This window comes from Homo sapiens, chromosome 3 (assembly GCF_000001405.40).
Source record: "Homo sapiens chromosome 3, GRCh38.p14 Primary Assembly".
Taxonomy (NCBI): domain Eukaryota; kingdom Metazoa; phylum Chordata; class Mammalia; order Primates; family Hominidae; genus Homo; species Homo sapiens.
The window spans coordinates 156131265-156149956 of NC_000003.12; the positions used below are offsets into that span (position 1 = coordinate 156131265).

At 39.7% G+C, this 18692-nt stretch overlaps 1 protein-coding gene across 5 annotated transcripts in view; it reads left to right on the top strand.

Annotated features, from left to right (window-relative positions):
• Positions 1 to 18692, top strand: part of KCNAB1 (potassium voltage-gated channel subfamily A regulatory beta subunit 1) — a 420928-nt gene that overhangs the window by 13054 nt on the left and 389182 nt on the right. Inside the window, exon 1 of one of the 5 annotated variants that reach the window (NM_003471.3) lies at positions 11698 to 12156. The exons of the other annotated variants lie outside the window; for them this stretch is intronic. Within the exon in view, the coding sequence (NP_003462.2) occupies positions 11915 to 12156 (242 nt within the window). The 5' untranslated portion in view covers positions 11698 to 11914. Of the gene's footprint in view, positions 1 to 11697; positions 12157 to 18692 lie in introns of those variants that run through there. 5 annotated transcript variants of the gene reach the window in all.

Sequence of the window (18692 nt, forward strand, 5' to 3'; positions counted from 1 at the left end):
CAGCTTTCCCCAACAGCCTCCCCAGGTATGTGAAATGTCGTCAGATGTCAGTTTTAGAGAAAAATCTCCATTCCATGGCAAAATAAATTAGGAGCTTTTTGTGCATTTTTGGTACACACATTGTGACCTAATTTCAAAAAGAAACTTGCCAAATATTTTTTCAGTCTCCAAAAAATTAAACTAGGCTTCCCGCCAGATATCTGGCTCTGGTTCCCAATCCAGGAACGGCTCCCAAATGCTGATTGTGAATAGGCTGTAGGTGAATGCCTTTTACAAAATAAAGTGCATTGTTTTTATTAAAGGTAACCCTAGCTGCAAAATCCTGAAACCTTAATACCTTGAAATCAGAAAGTTTATTTCAAGCTGAGTACAGTGGTGGCTGACAATGGTAGTCCTAGCTACTCAGGAAGCAGATGTGGGAGGATTACTTGAGACCAGGAGTTTGAGACCAGCCTGGACAGCACAGTGAGACCTTGTTTCAAAAAAGAGAAAGTTTGTTTCTTACTTATGCAAGTCCGACCAGGGGTGGGAAGGGTCCAGTCAGGTGGGACTTGGGCTGATGAAAATTCTGTCATCTTCATCTTTTGTTTTCTAAGCTGGGCCATAGCTGAGCATTGACATGGATCAAGAGAGGAGTATGGGAGGAGCAGGTGGAGGCCCCATTTTGTGGGCCAGACCTGTAAGTGGTATCTGCAGGCAGAGGCAACATTGACTGGAATTCAGCCACATGACCACATTCAACTGCAAAGAAGGCTGGGAATTGTAGTTATAAATGTATGCCTTAGAAGGAAGAGAAGTGGGCATGGTGAATCCCAGGTCTGTTTCTGCCACAGAGCTGTGCTTGAAACAGGGTTAGGGAGCTTCTAAGGTAGAGTTTGGCTATTTTCCATAACATGGAGAGACCAAGGTATTCCTTTACTTTCAATGTTATTCCCCTTGTTCAAACTGGACCCCTTGACCTGACCTTTCCTGAGCCACATGGTGGGTCAATCTCTTCTGGCTTCTTTGTTTGGATCTCAACTTTCCTGTTTCACTGAGAAGGCTGAGGACACTTCAGAGACCTGTAGATGGTCATCTGATATCCACCTGGCAGTGGAACACTGATAAAGTAAGCAGCCTTCCTTATGTCAGTCTATGAGCATCAGCTCTCATTTTGAACCTGTCAGAGTGTTTCTCATTGCCTTGAGACTCACTTACGGCTGGATGAGGCTCTTGGCAGCTCATGTGTTATTCCTCCCCCATTCCATTGTGAGATGGAGTTGCTGCAAGGCCATCCCTTTCCATGGTAACAGCCACAGACTCTGGTGCCACAGACATGGGCTGATGTCTCAGGAGGCAGGATCAGGCACATGGAAACAAGGGTCAGGGAGCACTTGTGGAGAGCCAGGAGAGCTCACTAATTCAGTCTGTTATTTCAGAATAGATAAGGTGTGTGTTTTTAAGGGGAGCTTCTACAACATTGTGTTCATTTAAACAGTGTAATCATTACACATGTTTTTCTATAATGTACCTCCAGGATTCATAACAACAGACAAGATAATCACTTTGCTCCCAGAAGCAGGAGACAGTGTGGTTTTGAATGTAATGTTGTTAAATAAAATTGCATATCCTCAATGATATTCTGGCATTCTTCTCTGAGTCACTATCCTCAGTCAAGGTATATATACATTTTTGTGCAGAATTAATGAGGAATTTGGAGAATAATAGGTTAAGAAAATATGGTTTGTATACAAGAGACTTTTTATTACAAATATCTCCAATTTGAAATATTTCCTTAAAAAATCAAAGCCTAAGGTACATTTCGTAGCTTAGTCTTCATATTTAATTTGATTACAGCAATGGACATTAAGTATGAAACAAGCTGTCCAAAGGGCTGTTGAATTATTTAATTACCTCTGGGATTTAGGAGGTGAGAGTCAGCATAAACAATTCCACAAGTGGGATGTGTTAGAAAGATCAGCTCTTTCTGTCTCAAGCCTAGTAATTTGAACGATGTGACTATCCAAACACCAGTTGCTGTTGAACAAAATATTAAATGCTTAAATCTGTTTGCAATATTTTACTTTCCAGATGGTCATTTATCCAAAAGCAGTACTGAATGTGTTTTAAAAGTATTTTCAGTTAAATGAATTTTCAATGAGGTTAACATTCAGAATTAGTTTTTTAAAAAGGAAAAAATATACTTACATTTAAGGACATTCTTTTATTACCATATATGTAACATTGAAATAGTTTCTAACAATCAAACTAGAAAATTAAACAGAATTTATTAAGGAAGTTTGAGCATCTACCATGTTCCAGTTCTGAGGATACAGGGATGCAGAGTCAGGGCTTCTTGCCCTGAATGATCCTGGAGTCTGTTCAGGGAAGACAACACTACAGTCAAGTTTTTTTGGTGTGATATTAGAAGTGTGAAGGAAATGCTATAAAATTCAGGTAAAAGGGTGATTAGTTATGCCGGGAGGCAGGGAGACAGGGAAGAGAAGCATCAGGAAAAAATACACTTAAGATGCACCATTTCAACTAGACTTACACAAGAATGCATGGGGGTTTGTGGGAATGCGAACCAATGAGGAAGCAGGTAAGAAATGGCTGAGGGAAAGAAACATGTAATCGGCAGCTTCAGAACAAATTCGTTGACTTTTGTTTTTTTTTTTAGGCTAACCCACCAAATTGCTATTAACTGGAAAAAAGTTATGAGGATGGGACTGATAACATTTCTAAATGCAGGAAATATTCCCAATTAAGCCTCATTCATCTGACATTGTCAGAGAATGAAAATTTTCACCCAGGTGATTTTTCTAATACCTGAAACTTTCTAATTTAAGTGTCAAGGCTTTATTTTAACTTTCTAAACCTGAAGAAACAACTTGACAACTCTCATTTATCTTAATAAATGTCAGCTATTGTGCTATGTTAAAATATCCTCAGGGGCTATTAAAGCATATGGATCTATCTGCCTTGAAAATTGGAGGCCTCATTTTGCTATTTTATTTTTAAATTTTGGCTTCTGAAATTTTTCTTCCTCTATTATTTTTTCTGTATCCTCACCTTGCTGTAAGCTTTTCTTGCTGCTGTCAGGATGCCTGCCTCTGATAGTTCTTTTAATCTAATTTGCTATCTTTACTTTAGGGAGGGATGGGAAATAAGAAATCCAGTCGTGTTCAAATTATGACCAAGAAAGAATACATGGTTTATGAATTGAGGTACTCAACCAGGAGGTTTGAAATGTAGGCTTTGGGATATCTTATTTGTTCATTTGTTCATTCTTGGTTGTGTTTTATCTGGAAAGGTTTCTAAAAAAGGTGATCTCTACAAATTCAGTTGTTACTCTATTTGAACTAACATTTGAATCTGTTTGGGAAAATGTCAAATGCTGAAATTACTTCAAGTTTATGTTTATCTTGGAATAAACCATAGAGATTTTATAAAAGCAAACCATATAGAACACAATATTTCAAAATGTTGATGGGATGCTTGTAGTCTACATTTTATAAATTTCTCAGCCAAAGAAAACATTCTAGCACAAATAGAGTAAACAAAGTGAAACTATTCATTTGTCTTCTATAGCAGAGACACACTGAGGGCTTTTCAGTGGATTGTTTTTCAACAGTTTTGCCTTGGAACTTTGGTGATTAAACATTTACAATTATTGTACAGTGAAATGGCATTTCAAGAGGCAGGATGGTATATTTGGGAATTCAAAATATATAAACAGATTTAGTTTTCTTTTTTCTTTTTTTTTTCTTCACGGTGGAGTCTCACTCTGCTGCCCAGGCTGGAGTGCAGTGGCATAATCTCACCTGACTGCAACCTCCGCTTCCTGGGTTCAAGTGATTCTCATGCCTCAGCCTCCCGAGTAGCTGGAATTACAGGCTTCTGCCACCACACCCAGCCAATTTTTGTATTTTTAGTAGAGACAGGGTTTCATCATGTTGGCCAGGCTGATCTCAAACTCCTGACCTCAAGCGATCCTCCCAGCTCGGCCTCCCAAAGTGCTGGGTTTACAGGAATGCGCCACTGCACCCAGCCTGGTTTAGCTTTTTTTTCCCCCATTTTTTTTCCCCAGAGGAAAAGCTAATAACTCAGAGAGTATTCAAATCATGCAACTATTAGGCTGCCAGGCAAAGATTTAAGTCCTTGTCCACTAAGCCCATGCTCCTGGAAACTTGCACTTTATTCCAGTCCTTACAATAATGACTGCTTAATAGTGCCAATTTACCTGGATGTCTATTACCTTATTTGTAAAACAAGATAATTAAATCAGTTTATTTTTAAGAGTTCTTCTAGCTCTAGTTAGACTCCTAGATATTTTAGATTAATTGTAAGTGCCTAGAAGATGAAGAGAGAGATTGCTTGATTGGAATGATCCCAGTGAGACTTCTTAGTGCATGATATCACAAAACTGAAAATATAAAATTTTAGGCTTGCTTTTGTAGTTGAGATTTACTTTTCATGGTGCCATTCTGCACCCCAGCCTCCAAGGCCTTGTCATGGACAAGTTCCAGACCCCATAGAAATAACGTGTCAAAGAAGATAGATAAGCCCCATGGCAGAGCATGTGGCACCAGTGTCAAAATATGTGGAGTTCTTTGCAACTTTCAAAACTGCTTTCTGAGTAGGCACTTAAGGAGTGATGGAGGTATTTCTTGCTAGATGAAGAACAAATAAGCATCATTCAGATAATCTCTCATTTCTCTTTAGCAAGGGAGAAAGTCATATTTAAAGCCATCCCCATCCATTTTGTACTCATGCAGCCCATAACATTGAAGTCCCCTGAAAATTATTGCTTGTGAGAAGTCTAAGTCTCCCACGTATAACTGTGTGTTCTGTGCACTGCACAACACTAGGGGGCACAATCCACATGGGTTAAAATTTGGATGGCAGTCCTTGGAGTTGTGCAGTGTATGTGGTAACCCTTAGACACTGACAGCATTGCAGGTATTATAATAATAATCACCATTTATTGAGCCATTTATTCTGTACTAGTTACATCAAATACAATATTTCTTATAATTTTCACAACACCCTATTAGGTAATATGATGAGCTATAGTTTCCGGGGGAAGAAACTGTGACTCAGAAAGTGCCCACTGGTGGGTTGTAGTGGCAAGATTTGAACCCAAGCCTTCCTGACTTCATAGCCTGTGCTCTTTCTACTATACTGTACTCTCTGTGGAAATTCCCCTAAGCCAGGCCAGTGCAGACTGGGATAAAGAAGAAGGTGATCTCAGCACCCTGCAAGCATTACTTCAGTGTTGACTTAACAGCATGAGACCACAATACTATCATGATCTCAAACCTTCCATGGCTCAACATTACTTAAAAAGAGAGCCTAGAGCCTAAATAATGTGACTGAGACCTCATCTCCCATCCTTTCGACGCCGCTCACCTACCTCTCCTCCAAAGTAGTCATTGCTTCTAACTGCCACGTTTTGAGGTATTTCTGGCCACATTGTGCACTTTTGCACATCTGGGCCCCATGGACCATTTCCCTTCGTTTAGCTTTAGACTAAGGCCACATTTTGGCATCTTTTGGGAACTTTTGAATAAAGAGCAAGAGAGTCATGCCCAAAGTAGGTGAGGAGAGTTTTTGCTACAGATGCCAGAGCTCCACTCAAAGATGCTTTCTAGTTGAGGACTGTGGGACCAATGCAGAATAGCAGTTAAATCTCAAGGGCCAGTCTTGCCCACAAACCCTCTATGCCAAGGTAGAGATCTATAGATGTAGTCACCAATAAATACGCTCATTTTTTTCTTTTTTTTTTAAACTTTTATTTTTGGTTTGGGGGTACATGCAAAGATTTGTTACATGGGTAAACTTGTGTCACAGGGGTTTGTTGTACAGGTTATTTCATTATCTAGGTACTAAGTCTAGTACCAAATAGTTATTTTTTCTATCCTCTCCTACTCATTTTTTTCTAAAGCAAGGTTATAGTGCGTATGTATCATACATTGGTGGGGGGGGATTGTTTTTATGCTATAACGCAGGAGTATACAGTAGATAAGCAGTAGGGATAAGGAAAAGGAATCAGGTGAGACTGAAGATGCTACCTTTGGGTCTAGGGAGAAGGAGCTAAGGCTGGCTCAACAGGGGCTCTCCATTAGTCATGTGTTGTACTCCCATGCACTGTAACATGCACCCCCTCCCCTATCCTACCAGGACTGTTGTGTTGTATTCACTGAGAAAATCTCGACTAACAGGAGATGTGAGGGATTGCCTAGAAAAACACCAATGAATGACAGAGACATTTAACATTAGATTTCTTGATGGACTGCAAACTTCCTCTTTTTTTTTTTTTTGAGACAGAGTTTTGCTCTATCACCCAGGCTGGAGTGCACTTGCGCGATCTCACCACAACCCCCGCCCCCACCAGGTTCAAGCAATACTCCTGCCTCAGCCTTCCAAGTAGCTGGGATTACAGGCACCCGCTACCACGTCTGGCTAATTTTTTTTTTTTTTTGTATTTTTAGTAGAGACGAGGTTTCACCATGTTAGCCAGACTGGTCTCGAACTCCTGACCTCAGATGATCCACCTACCTCGGCCTCCCAAAGTGCTGGGATTACAGGCGTGAGCCACTGTGCCCGGCCTGGATTGCAAACTTGTGAAAGAACTCCCTCCACTCCTCCCACCCTTTACCTTTACTGCTGATGTTGTCTCAGGGTATCTTCTCTGATCCTCTGCTCTTTTCCCAGACTGGGTTTAGCCTCAGTGATTGCCTCTATCTTTGCTCATATCACATCACTTCGTAGTCTTTACTGGTTTCTCTCCTCTCCTCCACTGAGAGCTCCTTGATGACAAAGGCAATGTTTTATGCATTGTGTTTTGTTAACACAACACACACATACTATACTTAGCTGTGGTCTTGCCACATATAGCTAGACCCCAAGGTAGCTCTGGCAAGGGTGAAGAGAAGATGGCAGTGACAGGAGGAGCAATCCCTCTAGATGGTTCCCAGTGAGATGAAGGCAGATGTCTCACAGCATCACCTGCAGAGCACTAGTGAGCAAACACGTGAACAAGAGCAGAAAGATGAAGTTCCGGTAAATAATCAGAATAGAAAAATATGCGCTGGACTGTAGTGTGGTGTCCCTTGTCCAAATTGACTTGGTTGGTCCCAATACTTCCCCACCCCGGCAGTGACAGTGCATTCCCACTCCTCTAGCCCCACCAGCTCTGGCCTCAGTTTTTATTTTAGACCTGGATGTTCTTGGATGACTGCGACATGTCCAAGATATACAGTGTTCAACAAATCACCTCGTTAGCCAAGAAAAATTTAGAACTAGGCTATAAAGGTGTTTGCTATATTCCAAGAATAACATAAATCTCACGAGCCTGGTATCTTTTATAACTAGTGAATAATTCATGGACTCCAAGTCTCGCCAGTAACAAAGGAGGAAGGATCATCACCTCTATAGCATGATTAGAGCAATTACTTTTTAAGATACACAGAACATCAGATGTAGACTAGAAGAATCTTAGAGATTACCTAAGTCTGAGCCAGTAGAGAAACTAAGGGGTCAGAAAGGTCAAGACCTGTCCAAGGTCACACTATTGTTTATGAATCCTGAACAGGTGTAGATGAAGTCTGCCCACCACCCAGAGCTGCGTGAGCTTCTATATGTGGCTTCTGTGTCCCAGGCCTCCCGTGCTCCATCAGCAGGACGGGGCAGGCAGCACCTGTCTCATCACATGGCCTTGTTGCTTTTTCCTGCACTCTGCTGACCATGTGATTGCACAGTACTTAAATATCCTAAAAAGAATATGAAAATCATCGTTCCTGAGACACAGAAGGAAAGCAAGAAAGACATTAACTGTCCTTCTCAGCTGTTCAGAGGCATTTCTTACAGTCTTACCACATTGAGCTTAAAATTGATCTTAGTTTGTATTGACAACCAAAGGGATAAATAGTTCTCTTATTAAATATAGTTTCTATCCTCCACCTTTAAACTGGGATCTTTTATGACATTGACCTGCTTTTAGAACTTTATGAAAAGAAACTTCAGTTCCAGACAAATATTGGCTTTCTCATTTCTCTCTCCTTTCCTGGGCCCAGTTCCAAATTTGGAGGACAGAATGAGAGGGACACATGGGAGAGGGCTCATGCCCCATGTTTTAGAAACTGCTTTCCTGGTTCACCTGTGATTCTTCCTTGGCCCTCCGCTGGCACCACTGCCTGAACCTCCAGGTGTTCTCAGCCCTGGAGGAACCACTTTCATGGCTCACATACTCAGATTTAACTGGTGGCTACCATAAGTGATGTCACTGGTGCAACTTTACTTGGGAATGCTAATTTCTCCCTAACTCCATTGTACTGTGTTTTTTTTTTTTTTTTTTTTTTTTTTGTTCCCCCTAGCTTTTCTGGCCTTTTCTTTATAAGCTCTTATTTCTTCTTTCATGCTCAGGGCTTTTGCTGCTAGGGTGAAAATGGAAATAGGTTTATGAGAGAAAAGGTAGCTATTGGGAGTTTAAAATTAAAGCAAGGAAATTGTTAATCTCTATGCAATGTTGATTGTGCACAAAGCATCATTCTGATCATTATAACTGGAGTTTACAAGCTTGTGTCAGATACAGTCCCTTCCCTAAAAGAGCTTATAATCTGGATGGGGAGTTAAGAGGTACACTTGCAAGAGATGTATCTCATACTCTGGAACAGCATATTATGTCTTTGTTTCCCAAAGGAGGTACAAGTACCACTCATACGGCATTAAATAACTGATTCACTTTGTAAATGTAGTGTATTCCTGTTTCAATTTCCTTTCATTTTTTTCTCATTATCTAAAAAGAAGGGAAGAGAAAATCTCAGATTTGTGCTAAATTATCTTTAAAACCTTTCTAATACTTTTAAATCTTTGTCAATAAAAGATAAAAAGAGTTAAGACTCTGATCCCAAGCCTCTGGACACTAAGTATCCAGCTGCAATGTAATAACATTCTTCATTTTTATTGCATTTTTTACAGACTACATTCTATTTTATTACAAGTGATAAGGTTTTTCTGTTTATGGTGGTAGTAAGATAATGTTTTCTGACTAAATGTCTTAGTTCAGGCTGTTACCATAGACTTAATGGCTTAAACAATGCACATTAATTTCTCACAGTTCTGGAGGCTGAAGTCTGAGATCAGGGTGCCAGCAGGGTCAGGTTCTTGGTAAGGGCCCTCTTCCCGGTTGAAGGGCCGCTGCTCTCTCCTTCCAGTGTCCTTACATGGTGAAAAGACAGCAAGCTACCTTTGGCCTCTTCTTATAAGGGCATTAATCCTATTCTGAGGGCTCCAAGATCACAACTCGCTTACCTCCCAAAGGCCCTATATCCTAATATCATCACACTGGGGGTTAAGATTCCCACATATGAATTTTGGGAGGAATGCAAACATTCAGTACATAACACTAAAAAAATTCATTTAGGTAGAAAAAGCAACTTAATTCCAAATAGTAAATAAATAATGGTATAGGATATACAAAAATACGGCAGAAATCACAAGGGGTGTGCAAATGTTTGTGAAACGGTTTAGAAGTGTGAAGTGAGGGCTTTAGGTTTGAATTGCAAGTGGAATTTCAATGAATAATTGTGTACCGGGGCTGGGAAGAATTCCTAGAGGAGGTGAGCTTTAAGGGAGCATGTGCGCGTGTGTGAAGATTCATGTCAGCAGAGATGTAAGATGTGATGGCAGGTGGGAGGTGTGAGTGTGAAGCTGTTAGACCGAATGAACAGTTTATGTCCAGGAGTCACAGTTGGAGGAGAGTCACAGCTGGAATCATGTGGTGGAAAAACCCATATGTGAGGAGTTTCTTTGCTTTTTTTTTTTTAAACTTTCTATTTTGAGATAACTGTTTATTCATATGCAGGTATAAGCAGCAATAGAGAGATTCCATATATCCTTTGCCTAGTTTCCCCAAATGATGGTATCTTGCCTTGCCACAGTTCAATAGCACAATCAGGAAACTGATGATGACACAAGCCCCTGCCCTTATTCAGATTTTTCCAATATTATATGCACTCATTTTTGAGTAATTTATATTTAGTTCCATGCAGTTTGGTTACATGTATTGATTGATGTGACCACTACCATAATCAAGACACAACAGTTCCATTATAAGAATCCCACCTCTACACTTTTATAGCCATAGCCATCTTCTTCCCTTTTGTCTTTTCTAACCCATGACAATTATGAATTTGTTATTCCTCTCTAGCTACAATTTTGCCATTTTGAGAATGTTATATATATGGAATGATACAGATTCCAAAATGCAACCTTTTGGTATTAGCTTTTTTTTTTTCCCACACTCAGCGTAAGCCTCTCGAGATTTATTCAACTGGTTGTTTTGACCAATAGTTCATTCCTTTTACTTGCTGAGTGGTATTTCGTAGTATGAATATGCCACAGTTTAATCATTCACCCATTATGGAATATTTGGGTTGTTTCTAGATTTTGGCTATTATGAATAAAGATGTTATAAACATTTGTGTACAAGTTTTCATGTGAACATAAGTTTTCATTTCTCTGGGATAAATGCCCAACAGTGTGATTGCTGTGTCATATAGTAAGTTTGGAATGTTTAGTCTTATAAGAAACTTTTCTGGAGTGGCTGAACCATTTAACATTCCTACCAGCAATTTATGAGGGATCCAGTTTCTCTGAATCTTTGACAGCATTTAGTGTTATCACCATTTGTATTTTAGCTATTGTGATAGGTGTGTAGTGATCTCTCATTGTGGATTTCATTTGTATTTCCCTAATGGCTAATGATCTTTTGATGCTCTTATGTGCCATCTGTATATCTTCTTCAGTGAAATGTTTGTTCATATCTTTTGCCCGTTTACCAATTAGATTGTTTATGTTTTTATTGTTGAGTTTGGAGAGTTCTTTGTATGTTCTAGATATAAGTCTTTTGTCAGATATGTGGTTTGCAAATATTTTCTCCCAGTCTGTAATTTGCTTTTTAAAATCCCCTTCACGTGGTATTTCATAGAGCAGAAGTTGTTAATGTTGATGAAATCTAATTTATGAGCTTTTCCTTTTATGGATTGTGCTTTTGGTGTCAAGTCTAATAAGTCTTCACTTAACTCTAGGTTCTGAGGATTTTCTCCTGTTTTTACCTACAAGTTTATAGTTTTACATTTTACATTTAAATCCATGATCAATTTTGCGTTGATTTTTGTATAAAGATGAGGTTTAGGTCAATGGTTCATTTATTTTTGTTTGTTGCTGTTCTGCTTTGCCTCGCTTATGGATATCCAGTTGCTCCAGCACCATTTGATGGAAAAGCTATTCTTCCTCCACAGATTTGCTCTTCATATTTGTCAAAAATAATTAGCCATATTTGTGTGAACCCTTTGCCTTTTACAACCACTTGTTGATATTTGTCTATCATTTGACAGCAACATCTGAAAGAGGTTAATGGACCTTTCACCCAAATGAATCATGCCTCTAGTATAAAAAATTATTTGATTACAAAATATTTAATAATTTAGAGAAGTCTCATTACATACTCATGAATCATCCCTAAGGCTTTATGGTCCTTATAAAAACAGATTGGCCCAGATCCCACCAAAATATTTCCTTTTACCTAAATAGAAAGACATGGGAAAAAGTTCCCATATTTTTTTTCCCCAGGGCCAGTACATAGTTGCTTATGTTTGACTCTGAGTACTTTAAAGGGATGAGAAAAGTGATTGGCCACCAAAAGCCTCCTTTATGCACAGGCCTGGGCAGGGACACACAACCAACAGCTCTGTCGGGAACTTAGGAGCCTGCTCGCCTACAAAAATGATAAGAGAGATCTAAAGAAAACAAGCTAAACCTTTTGAGGGACATACTGAAGCCAGATAACCCAAGGTATTCACAGCAAGATACAGTGAGTCTTAAAGTTAAGCACCGTGCAATTAGCTTTGCTTCCTTGGGTTTTTGAAACATGCATCTGTATAAACCTGCCTGTGCAGACATCCCGAGCCCCAAGCTGGGTCTGCCAAAATCCAGTGAATCGGCTCTAAAATGTAGATGGCACCTAGCAGTGACCAAGACTCAGCCTCAGGCGGCCTGCAAACCTGTGAGGCCCAGTGGAGCAGCCGAACAGAAATATGTGGAAAAGTTTCTACGTGTTCATGGAATTTCGTTGCAGGAAACCACCAGAGCAGAGACGGGCATGGCATACAGGTACTGCTGATTGCAAAGTCATCCAACCAGGGCACTGCACTGATGTCAAAGGTTGTTATTAAAGAAATAAGGACTGAAATAGCAAGACAAAACCCTGTAAGAAAAAGAAGGAAAAATGCAGTGAGCCCTCTTCTTGGGTTGCATTCTTGTTTTTTTTTTTTTTTTTTTTTTTTTTTTAGCTTTAAGCGTTCTCTTTTCTCAGAGGGTTACAGAAAAGACAGTCAAGTTCATCTGTGGAAACTCCTAACCATGTGCTCCAGAAGAAGTATCTTTGGCTCTGAGTAGGGAGGTGATTTGGCAGGTCAAAATGAAGAGTGGGGACTCCATTCTTCTTAAGGGAAAGAGAATTTATAAGTTAAGAGTAGAATTTTTTTTTTTAATGCTGCCTGGGATTCAAGACTTATTTTCTTCTAAACTTGAATCATGTGGTCTGTACTAATAGCTAATAAAGTAGTTCAAGTTCTCCTTGAAATGACAGCACTTTATTTATTTATTTATTTATTTATTTATTTATTTATTTTTTAAATCAGTGTCACCCAAGATAAATTACTGGTTGTACACTAAACTTCCAATATCATTATTTATTTTATGAAAGATTAACAAAAAGGAGAAATGTTTTCTTGGTATAGGGTTGGATGTGTAATCTTTATAAGTTGCTCTGTGATGGGAAGAATCTTTCCTATTCAGAGCAATTATTGCTCCTGCACAAGTGCTTCCTTTACGTACGCCTGGAGTTTTAAACAGCCCAGAAGCTGAGTAAAAGCTATTCAGAAGGACAAGGTACTGAAAACTGAAAAAACAATTTAGCAATTGTAAGAACAGTTGTCCTAGCTCATATCAAAACTTCTGCACAGCATAAGATTGTTTTTCATGTACAAGATGTCCCCAGTGATTTCATTTTTCCAAAATCTGAAGGTCTATTTCAGTGTAGTAGCTGCTGCTCTAATTTATCAGCTAATTATATTCATAAAGCAATTTGCAATGATATGGCTCCTCTCTGGAGAGCAAAGTATTTTACACAGACTCTATGTAATAAAAGGGTTGTGCAGAAAAGAAATGAACTCTTCTCAATTTATAAGGAGGATAGGACAGCCTACCACATCCTGCTTTAGAAGGGGAGCTCACCTTTTCATGGTAGCTCATGGAATGAGGAGGGATGGATGAGGAGGAGATGCTGCTGTTTCTTTCTGAATCTGTCACCGGAAGGAGCCTGCTTCTCTGTCCCCCCACGTTTTCTCTCTTCTCCGTGTTTCCTCGACCCTCAGTGGTGGTAGTGATGGTGATGTGAACACAGATCGGGCGAAGGGGAAGATGGACCATTTCACTTTTAAAAAAGTCTGCCTCCATGTCTTTGTCATAGGATGGGTGGTATTACCATGAATTGTTACATAAACCTTTAGAGGGTATGCCTTTCTCTCTCAAAAGTCTAGTTTAAATATCAATTACAGATCTGTGCTGTGTGCCAATGTTCAGATGAAGGTATGTTCTAGGAAAGCATTTTTCAAAGGATTATGAAGTAGAGGAACACGTTCTTCAGACAGGTGAAAGCAAAGCTGCCTCAGCTAAAGGTGGGAGCTTGGAGCCCACCTGCTTGAGGGGAGCAGTCATCCCCCAGCCTCTTCTGAGACACCTATGTGGATTCCATACTCCCCATAGGTTTTGGGCGACTCTTCATGATGCCTTGGTGGGGAAGGCTCTGTTACCTTGGAGATGCCAGATACTGCCTTGGACAAGGGTGTATGCTACCATATCACACCCTAGTAAGAAATGGGACTTAGGAGAATGTTGCCCCTAAATCAGTTTGAGGGGAGAAAAGCACAGTTTAATTGATCATTAACCCTAAGAAATAGCCAAGGCTCTAAATTATGATGAGCTTGTGCTCTGACACATCTTCCTGACACATTTCTCCATTACCCACTCCCCAATGTCCTTAGTGCTCTGTTTATTCTCCCTTTAAGACACTCGCTTACTGCCCTTATTTAAGACATTCTCCTGCAACCATTTGGAAAGGATTTTTAGGAAAGAGAACCAGGGTTCTCTTGGCTCCTCCCCAACTTAGCTTTAGACCTTGATTTCTTATAAACATAGTTGGGGTTAAGAGAGAAGCTGACTTTCATATTCTTACTTCTTTATTATGATTTTTCCCCCTCAGGAAAAAGAGGGTGGGCAGGGGACCATGGCTATGTTAAAAAAACAACCTCTGTTAAGCCTTGTTTTTTCTATTTTCTTTTTTCTTGTAAAGTTGAAAGAAAATGGGCATTGAAGTTAAACAGACCAGAGTTCAAATTCAAGCTCTGCCTGTTTTAGAACTGTGTGACATTGGGCCAGTCATGACATAGAAATGTCTAATACAGTAGGTGCTCACTGGGAATGGAGGTTTTCTTCCCACTTACTCTGTAGTGTCTGTCCATCAGTCTAAGTGGGGGAGGGATTGAAACCCTTTAGGTGAAACATATAAATGGATAAGAGAATATTCTCAAAAGGAAAAAAAAAAGAATAAGACAACCCACAGTAGTTCACAATCTGTGTAGGTTTCCATGCTCAGCTTTAGAATTCTGAGAGGTCTGGAAGAGCCGGGTAAGCTGTTTTCCATTCTGAATTTGGTCAGACGCCATTGCAGACTTTAGCCCAATACCAGCTGCTTGGGTCCCTCGATCATCTGTGAGAGAGCATTATGTTGTGTTTCCATGGAGACTTCGTTTTATTTCTAACTAAGGTTGACCAGGAGGAGAAAAAAAATAAGTAAATATGCAAACACATGCATCAATTGAAAAGAAACTGGAGGACATTGAATGTGGTGTAAAAAGTGCCAAGTTGCTGTGTAGATCCTTCTGTTGGCTTAGAAATCTCAGCAAAAATAGAAGTTTTAAAATTCATTTTATCAGTGACTATAAAATGGTTACCTAAGAGGGTCTTCAGTTTACTACTAAGAGGCTGAAAATTAATTGTCTTTATTACATAGCACTGAACTCTAAGCCAGACAGTAAACACGAGCCTGAGTCAAGGTTAAAATACACTGAGGAGTAGTTTTATGAGAAAAACACCAAAAATATCTAGACTGAGTTAAGATGTAGCAAATACCTAGCTTTGAAGCAATCTTATAATACTAACATTGGCAGGAGAAACTTAAACAGATATAAAATGAAGCTCTAATCCAGGGACAACACTTTTCCTGTAAAAGGCTAGATAGCAAATATTTCATGCTCCAGGTTCGTATCTGCCTCTGTTACATCTACTGACCTCTGCTATGTAGGGTGAATGTGGCTATTGATGATATGCAAATGAGTGGGCACAGCCATGTTCCAATGAAACTTTATTTATGGACACGGAAATTTGAATTTTATAGTTTTTGCATATCACAAATCTTATTTTTTCCTCCAAACCACTAAAAATGTAAAAATCATTCTTAGCTTGTGGGCCATACAAAAACAGGTGGCAGGCTGGGTTTGTTCAGCAGGCCATAGTTTGCTGACCCCTGGTTTAGAAAGCAAGGCCTTCAGTTGCTCAGGTTATGTATTTACTTGTTTGTATTTATTTATTTTTAAACCTTTTTGTTTCCAGAGGTATTTAAGGAACTCAAATGCATATAATTGAGAAAGATAAAAATAAATTACAAAGAAGATAGAAAAAACAGTGCCAAGAAAGACCAAAAGAGCAGGAAGGGAACAGAGAGCCTGGGGTGAGGGACCATGCTGTGTATAAGCCAATGTGTTGCAAGAGTTAGACCTGGATTTGGCTCTGTGCTTTCCAGCAGCATTAAATTGTGAAGAGGGAAACTGAGCCCTTTACAAAGTTACAGGGTCCTTGAGTTAGAGACAAGCCAGTTGCTCCATAATGGCACACCTCTTCCTGATCTGTAAATCAGAGAGAAGTTCCTTTTGAGGTTCTTCTTTGTGTAAGGAATAATATCCTTGCAATATCCTTATAGCAAACACAGCAGCAAGGTTCCTAGAGGATCTTTCCTGTGGAGCCCCTAATATTACTATCATATCAAATAATAACTCAGTAAAGACAAATAGGTGCATAATGGAAAAAAGTGACATTGTTTAAATAGAAACCATATTGGCCACTTTGGGCTATGCTTTAAGAATTTTCCAATAACAAAAACACAGATTTCTTTTTTATTCTTTTTTTTAAGAATGACAGGGCTTCTCCAGGTTCATGGAATGAAGCAATTGTTTCTAGAAAAATAAGTGTTATTTGCCAATCAAGGATAAAATTTTCTAAAGCCTTGAGCTGACGGCAGGGAGAAGGCTATAAAAGAAGAAAGGGAAAAGTAGAGAAACTCTTGGAATTCTTAACTTGAGATGGGCCTTAAGGATAATCTGCTCCAATTTCTGGTCTTACAGCTGAAGAAAATTGAGGCTCAGAGATGTTGAGTGTCTAGCATGAGGTTGCACTTCTAGCTAGCAACAAAACTAGGACTAGAACCCCTGTCTCTTAGTTCTCATTCCAGTGCTTTCTTCAAGCTTTCCATATTTATTCCCAGCTCCCCAACCTCCATCCCACCACATGCCAAGACACACACACACACACACACGCACGCACACGCACACACAAACACACACCGCACCCTGGAGATACTGCAGATCCAGCCATATTCACCGTCCTGCTCTGTCTACTTTTCCAGGCTCCCCGTTATTGTGCTCTGTGACTTGCTTAGTCCTGCTGCTTTGCATGCTTACCCTCCACCTTCTGCCAGAATCATTGAGTCTCTACTCATCATTAGTTTTCCTACCTGGAATATTCTTACACATCCCACTTGCCTAGGTAACTCCAACCCACAGGGTCTCCTTTTGCCCCTACAGCATTGACCACCAGACTTTTCTCTATATAGGATATAGATTGTTAGTTATTTGTGTGTGTGTGTATCTTATTGTCAAAATTGTGCATCATGACCTTGAGGATGAGGACTAAAACTTATATTTTATACTTCTTCAATGCCTTTGCACTTAGAAAGTGCTGGTACATACTTGTTGCTTGATTGAGGTGCATCCATTCAGAAGTTGGGAAAGAGAGAAACCAAAGAGCAAGTAGGAACTTTCCTTTTCCCTGCTAATAGTGCTCTAGCCCCATCTTTTCTCCTGTATCTTAGATACAATATGCTACTTAATCTTGTTAAGCCTCAGCTTCCATATCTGTAAAATGGGCCTAATTTAACTTACTTCACAATGGCATTATAAGAAATCCATAAAGTCACATATGTGAAAGTGCTTGGCTCACTGCCTGCTAGCATGGGAACCTAAGTGCTCCCTTGCTTCAAGCTCCTTTTTAACCAATCCTAGTAATCTATCACTTAGGCATCTTTAGCATTTCCAAAAAGAAGTGTGTGTCTATTTATAAAGGATAGAGGGACAGAAAATAAACACCTAAAATAGAATATTGCACAATTCTGAACATATCACCCTCCTTTCATCACTTGCTTTTTCATTTTCTTTCTTTTTTTTTTTTGCTGTTGCTATTAGGATCTACTCAGAAAGTGTTTGTTTTTCTTTCTTTTTATCTCACACATGGGCTCCTAATCAGCTTGGCCTCAGGAAGTGTGGGAATAAATAACTCTTCAAACGATGTAATACGAAGGTATCTTTTATCAACTGCTGCATTTCCAGTGCCTGGCATTGTGCCTAGAACAAAAATATTTGAGCCAGAATGAAATGAAAAGGACTGAAACTTCCACCAGCTTGCAGTGTCTCTCCCATTAGCTTGCCCCAGTGTCCGAAGATCTCCCTAGACTGGAGACATCAGTTCTCAGAGACTTCTGTTAAAAGGGGAGTGTGCTTGCTGAGTGGTGGCCACGCTAATCTAAGCTACTAGATGGTAGACCAAGAAGGAAACCGGACATAGTCCAAGCCTGACCTAAAATAAGAGAAAACAGGAAGGAAGCTTCCAGGCTAGATCAACAGAAAAGCTCGAGTATCCGAGCATGGTACATTACTACGGACTATCATAGAAGCAGGAGGGATGGAATTGAAAAAAAGGGGAAGGAAAACTAGAGAGAAACCTCACTTAGCTACCAGCTTTTCTCAGAGATGTCAGGGCAGAGAATTTGAAGGCATAAATGAGAGTTTTCATTGATCATTAAACAAAGACTCCAGAGATAAGTAGGAACAATTTTTCACCTGAACCCCTCTCTGTGGGTTCTGTCACAGTGCAAACATGATGTTCTAGCAGAAGGATTTAAAGACAAGCTCTTCCCTCCCTCCTCTCATCCCCTGCTTCCTTATCTACAAAATGAAGCTGAAAAACCCTACTTCAAAGGGTAACGCCATCCTCTCAAAGAGGCATATAGTGGATACCCAGGAAAGACTATCCCTCTTGCCCTTTCTCCTTTTCATAGTATTACAGGGTTGACATATGTGGAAGTTGAAAATTACATTTGTTCCTAAATTGCACTTACTTTCATCCTCCCAGGACCCTCCAAACCCCACCAAAAACACCCTTTCATCATGTGTTCTTGTGACCTGCCCTTTTCATGAGACACTTGGCACACTCAGACCTGCTTGAAAAGTATTAATAGCTAGAGCTGTGACTGTGAA